Genomic DNA, 6,000 nt, shown 5'->3' with positions numbered 1-6,000 from the left:
AGGTAACATGCCTGCTTCTGTGGGCCTCCAGGTCGAGCATCTGACAGAGTCCAACTGTCTCTCAAGGCCAGTCTCTGGAAGGAGCGTGTGTCCTTTCTCATGAGGATTTACGGACAAAATTACCTATGAAGGCAAGCCAGATTCATGTATCTGCTAAGGCCAGCCAGGGATGAACAGGGATGCAGTGCTTTCAGTCCTGGTCCCGCTGGCTCACGGCTGGGGCAGGGGAAGAGCAATCCAGGGCACACAATGTACAACGTGTAACGTCACTCTTTATTATGAAAATAAAATGGTGATCATGAGTGGGGCGAATACACAGAGCAACTGGCTCTTTGGGTGGTTATGTCACGTGGCCTGCAAGTTAACGTTGGCTTCCTGGTCAGCCAGGCCTTAGGCTGGTGAAAAGAGGAAACAAAGAGGATGTGAACGAAGACAAAGAAGACATCGGAGGGCTCCTTTTAGGAGATTTGCTTGAAGGCCTCCGCGGGGATCTTGCCCTCGGTCTAGAGAAAGTAAAGAAAAGGAGTTGGGATGTTAGTAGAGCCAGGTGCACTGGGTTCCATCCCCACACTACCTGGCCTCCATCTTCTTGGCCCTCCTGACGACCCAGAGACAGCTGTCTTTTACCCACTTGATTCCCAGACCTCACCTGGAGCATAGTGAAGGCCTGGCCAGCTCTAGTGTAGTTCCACTCATTGTCCTGAAGGCACCTGGGGTGGGAGAAGAACAGGTGCTCTCCATTACTAGCCCAGGACAGACACGCTGACTATGCAATGCCACCCTTAATCTATGCTACCTTTTTGCTGGGTCACATGTACCAATATGAGCACTATTGTAACAATGAAAAAAGGCCTGGGGAAAACCAAAACGCCCATCCCTGACATTAATGCCCACTAGAATTCAAATCAGAAACATAGCGGTATTCAAATGAACAAGGGAGCTTAATACATATTGATAAAGAAAGATGTTCAAGAAATAACAAGTGGAAATTCAATAATACGTTTCTTTTCTATTGAGATATAATGCACATACTGTAGCAGTCACCATTTTAAGGTGTACAATTCAGTGCTTTTAAGTCTATTCACAAGATTGTGCAACCATCACACCTATCTAATTCCAAACTGTTTTTATCACCTCAAAAAGAAACTCCTTAACTGTTAGAGATCACTCCCTGTTCTCCCTCTTCCCCAGATCTTGGCAACCACTACTCTGCTTTCGGTCTCTACGGATCTGGCTATTCTGAACACTTCGTATGAATGGAATCATATAATTATGTGGCTTTTTGTGACTGGGTGCTCCCACTTAGCACATAATGTTTTCAGGGTTCATCCACGTCATAGCATATATCACAACTACATCCTTTTTTGTGGATGAATAATATTCTAATAATATTCCACCGTATGGATGTACCACATTATCCATTCATCAGCTGAAGGTCAATCCATGTGTTTCCATTTTTTGGCTATTTGGAATAATGCCACTACGGAAATTCATGTGCAAGTTGTTGAATGGGCATATATTTTCATTTCTTTTGGTATACACTTAGGAGTGGGATTACTGGATCATGTGGTAACTCCATGTTTAAGATTTTGAGGAACTGCCAAAATCTTTTTGCCAGCAACTGCTCCACTTTATGTTCCCAGTAGTAATACATGAGATTTCCAATTTCTCTGCATTCTCACCGACATTTGTCATGTTTCCTTTTATGGACTAAAGCTAGCGTAGTGGGTATGAAGTGGTAACTCACTGTGGTTTCGATATGCGTTTCCCTAATGACTAACGATGTTGAGAAGATTTTCACGTGCTTCTTGGTCATTTGTATATCTCCTTTGGAGAAACATCTATTCAAATCATTTCCCCATTTTTTAATTCGGTGGCTTGTCTGTTTGTTGTTGAGTTGTAAGGGTTCTTCTTGTCGGCGATGTGATTTGCAAATATTTTCCCTTGTTCCCACCAGTCGGTTTTCCGCTTTCTTGATAGTGTCTGCTGATGCACAAAAGCTTTTAATTTAGATGAAGTCCAATTTACCTATTTTTTCTTTGGTTGCTTGTGCTTTTGGTTTCATATGTAAGAAATGGTTGCCTAATTCAAGGTAATGAAGATGTACACTTACAGTGTTTTACAGTTCTGGCTCTTATTTTAGGTCATTGATCCATTTTCTGCCAGTGTTTGCACGTGATGTGAGTTAGGGGTCAAAATTAATTGTTTTGCAAGTGGATATCCACTTCTCCCAGCACCATTTGTTAAGAAGACTATTTTTTTTCTCCATTGGATTTTTTCAGCACCCTGAATGATAATCAACTGGACATAAATACGTGAGATTATCTGTGGACTCTCAATTATATTCCATTGATTCCCACGTCTGTTCCTATGTCGGTACCATACAGTCTTGATTAATGTAGTTTTGTAGCAAGTTCTGAAATCGGGAAGTGTGAGTCTTCTAACGTTGTTCTTCTCTTTCAAGATGGTTTTGGCTGTTTGGGGTCCACTGCATTTCCACATGAATTTTGGGATTACCTTGTCAATTTCTGCAAAGAAGTCAGTTGGGATTCTGTCAGGGACTGCAATGAATCTGTAGATTGTTCTGGGTGGTACTGCCATCGTAATGATATTAAGTCTTCCAATCTATGAACGTGGGATGCCTTTCCACGTATTTAGGTCTTCTTTAATTTTTTTCAGCAATGTTTTGCAGATTTCAGAGTACAAGATTTGCGCTTCTTCTCTTAAATTTGTTCCTACATACTTTCTTCTTTTCGATGCTACTGTAGATGGACTTATTTTCTTAATTTCATTTTTTTGGATTGTCCATTGCAACTACATAGAAGTACAAATGATTTTTGTATATTGTATCTTTCAACCTTGCTGACCTGGTTTATCAGTAGTTTATTGTGGTTGATTCTTTCAGATTTTACAAATGGAAGGTAATGTCATTTGGGCATTATGCCATTTAAAAAAATATTTACATATACCAGTATAAAAGTATGATACCTTTTTCATGGACCCACTTTTTTTGGAAGCAAAATACCCAGATAGTTATTTTTCCAAATTGCATGTGAGTTTCCATTACTCATTCCTCTGATGTCCCAACAGCCCCCATCCCCATGTACTCCCAGCACTCACTTCTGAGACCACTCCAGTTTCATCCCAGACTGGGCAGAGAAAGCCTGCACCATTTCCTGCTGCTCCTGGGAGAGGGAGGGCTCAGAGCTGGAGGAGAGTGTGGACACTGGGATGGAGAAGGCACTCTGAGTCTCTTGGGGGCTGGCATCCCTCACAAACAGCTCGTCATTCACGATGCACAGACTGGAGGAAAGAAAAATGCACCCTCAAACTGGACAAGTAGATAACTCCGCACCCCCAACAACAGGATCCTTCTTAACCACTGCCACTCAACAACCAAATTCCTTCCATATCCCTAACTGTGCCTGCCTCCCAGATTTTTTGGCTGGTACCCTCTAACCCTCCCACAGAGTCCACCTTTGGAGGGACTGTCTACCAGCTTCACTAGATTTTTAGATCCAACCCCAACGCATTTACCCTGTACAACAGCCCAAGGAAGTGGATAGTCTTATTCCAATTTTCAGAAAAAGGCACTGAATCACAGAGTGGTCGAATAAGTTGATCAAGGTCACACAGTTTGTGAGTGTTGGAGTGAGGAACAGAATCTGTATTCTGACTCCAGGGCCCACACTCTTAAACACTAGGCTAGACTGCTCCTTGGATCTTCCTGTCGGCCTTCCACAATATTGAGAACACCCGGAGGACTGCACCCACCACATTTCCACAACACTGGCCCCAAGCTTGGATGGGTGCTCCCACCCACAACACAGCACTAACCTGGAACTGCTGCCAGGGGTAGCAATGAAGGTCCGGGTGAAGGCGAGAACAGAACCCTGAGACTGTCCTTCCACTTCAAAGACAACAAACACCACCACCTTAGAGTTGCACAGGCTTTAACATGCTCACACGGTGATCCCCAGTCAGAGTATTGCTTGACACTCACACAGAAGGGGGGGAGGGGGCAGACCAGGACAATTGTTCACTTGGAGTCAGGCGGATGTGGCAGGAATGGGGAGGGCAGCAACAGGAACAATCCGCTCCCAGTGACAGGGCCCCTATCATGTGTGGGGCCCTGGGAAAACCACAAGTTCACTTAATTCCTATTTCACAGTAGCCCAAGAGATAGATTATTAGCCCCATTTTGCAAATGAGGAAACTGAAGGGTTAAGTAACCAGCACAAGTTCACAGAGTAAGGACCTGGGATGAGAGCTGTCAAACTCCACAGTCTGTGTCCTTAACGCACGCCTGAGCTGTGCAGGGCAGACAGGCATGGACCTAGGTCAGATCAGGGTGGTTTGAAGGCAGAGTGGGGGTGGGAAAACACGGAAGAAAGAAGAGGAAGGAAAGGAAAGGAACGAAAGCAGGGAAGCTGGGGGAGTTCTGAGAGGGAGCCCAGCCAGGGGGAGGGAGCAGTGGGGGATCTGGGGAGGGGACTATACAGACACTCACCTTCCTTGAAAACCCCATTGACAGAAAAGCAGAGCATCCTTTCCTGAAAAGGAAGCGCTCAGGTGCTCAGGATCCTCCTTAACCTCCTACCCACCTCTGGCTCTCTGGGCCTGCCCAAGGGAGGAAGCAGGTGCTCACCGTCTGGCACCACACGTCCACCAGGATGGAGCTGAGGTCATGCTGAGTTTTGGGCAACGCACTGAGGGAGTCCACAATGTCACGTTTTGTGCGCCTCAGCAGTTCCCCCTTCAGGTCTGTAGAGGAGAGGAGAAGCAAGGAATGGCAGGGTGGGCGGGGCAGGGCGGGGGGCTACCACATCCTGGTCCTTGGCCCCTGTGATTGTTCCCATCACACCCCCTTACCTTGCCCACTCTTCCCCATCACACACTTACAGGGGTCCTTGAGTGTTTTCATATTCCTGCTATCCTCAAAGTACTTGCACAAGCTGCTCCTAGGAGAAAAAGAGGAGCAGGAGTGGGTGGTCCGGCCAGTGTGGGCATTTCCAGGAGTTGGCCTGTGTCTGCTGGGGAGACACACAGCCCCAGAGCAGAGTCTGAGCCGTGATACTCACGGGGCTGAGTCCTTGGGGTCGAAGGGAATAGCCAAGGAGAAGCAGGCCTCATCGTGGTAAGCACCGAGGAGACCCTGTCGATCTCCAGAGTCATAGATCGAGTAATACCTGTGGGGAAGCAGTGAGGATAGGCTATCTCTGTGGCCTGGGCCCCAGATGAGACTTGAAAACTCCCAGGCTGCACGGGTGGCCCAGCCTGTCTCAGCCCTCCCCTTCCTCATGGTCCCAGGGATACTCACTGCTGCAGGAATTGCAGGACTAAATGCTTTAGGGTCTCAGATCCAGTAAAGTTTTCCTGAAATCAAAAGACAATTTGGATCTATGCGGTGGACAAAGCCTCCCTTACAGCAACCCAAATCTTGCTTGGTCCTTCTTCCTCACCTTGCAGGGTTTCATTGTCTCAGAGCTGTCAATGTCAACAATCACTGGTGCGGATAACTCTCGGCCGTCCTGGAGAAGGAAAGAGGAAGTCAGCAGTGGAGACCAAGGAGATGGAGCTGGATGATCGATAAGATGAACATGCCCAGGGAGACAAGCATCAGAGGCTAGGTGGGAAATGGCCCTGGAAATTCCAGTGGGTGGCTTTCTCATGGGGTGCTGGACATCTCTACTATCACATGCAAATGTGTGTGTGTGGGGGGGGTGGCGGCGGGGGGACACATTTTCCAGGGAGAATATTCTTGTCTTTTTCAGGAATCCATGCCTGTAAAATGGATGAGGGTCTGATACAAGCATGTAATCTAGGCAAGACCCAAAGGACTTGAGGGCAGGCGTGGAGGTCCTTTTCTTGAGTAAGAGGAGACAATGATGACGGTATTATACATACTTACCAGGCGTAACAACTTGGGGAAACAATCCCGGATGGCACTGTCCAAAACCAAAAATTGAATGAAGTGACTGACAGTTCAGGGTTGCACAG

At 46.6% G+C, this 6,000-nt stretch overlaps 1 protein-coding gene across 1 annotated transcript in view; it reads right to left on the bottom strand.

The window, feature by feature from the left end:
* Positions 1 to 250: 250 nt before the first annotated feature.
* The window catches only part of NXF2 (nuclear RNA export factor 2), a 79,556-nt gene continuing 73,806 nt past the window's right edge, over positions 251 to 6,000 (bottom strand). The window contains exons 13-23 of the mRNA NM_022053.4: positions 5,912 to 5,948; positions 5,463 to 5,531; positions 5,321 to 5,376; positions 5,082 to 5,189; positions 4,903 to 4,961; positions 4,649 to 4,764; positions 4,511 to 4,553; positions 3,838 to 3,910; positions 3,121 to 3,303; positions 650 to 710; positions 251 to 503 (exon numbers count right to left, since the gene is read on the bottom strand). Coding sequence (NP_071336.1) covers positions 459 to 503; positions 650 to 710; positions 3,121 to 3,303; positions 3,838 to 3,910; positions 4,511 to 4,553; positions 4,649 to 4,764; positions 4,903 to 4,961; positions 5,082 to 5,189; positions 5,321 to 5,376; positions 5,463 to 5,531; positions 5,912 to 5,948 — 850 coding nt within the window. The 3' untranslated portion in view covers positions 251 to 458. The remainder of the gene's footprint in view (positions 504 to 649; positions 711 to 3,120; positions 3,304 to 3,837; positions 3,911 to 4,510; positions 4,554 to 4,648; positions 4,765 to 4,902; positions 4,962 to 5,081; positions 5,190 to 5,320; positions 5,377 to 5,462; positions 5,532 to 5,911; positions 5,949 to 6,000) is intronic.

The sequence above is a fragment of the Homo sapiens genome, chromosome X (assembly GCF_000001405.40).
Source record: "Homo sapiens chromosome X, GRCh38.p14 Primary Assembly".
In the NCBI taxonomy this organism is placed as follows: Eukaryota; Metazoa; Chordata; class Mammalia; order Primates; family Hominidae; genus Homo; species Homo sapiens.
This window is presented reverse-complemented; position numbering and strand designations above follow the sequence as displayed.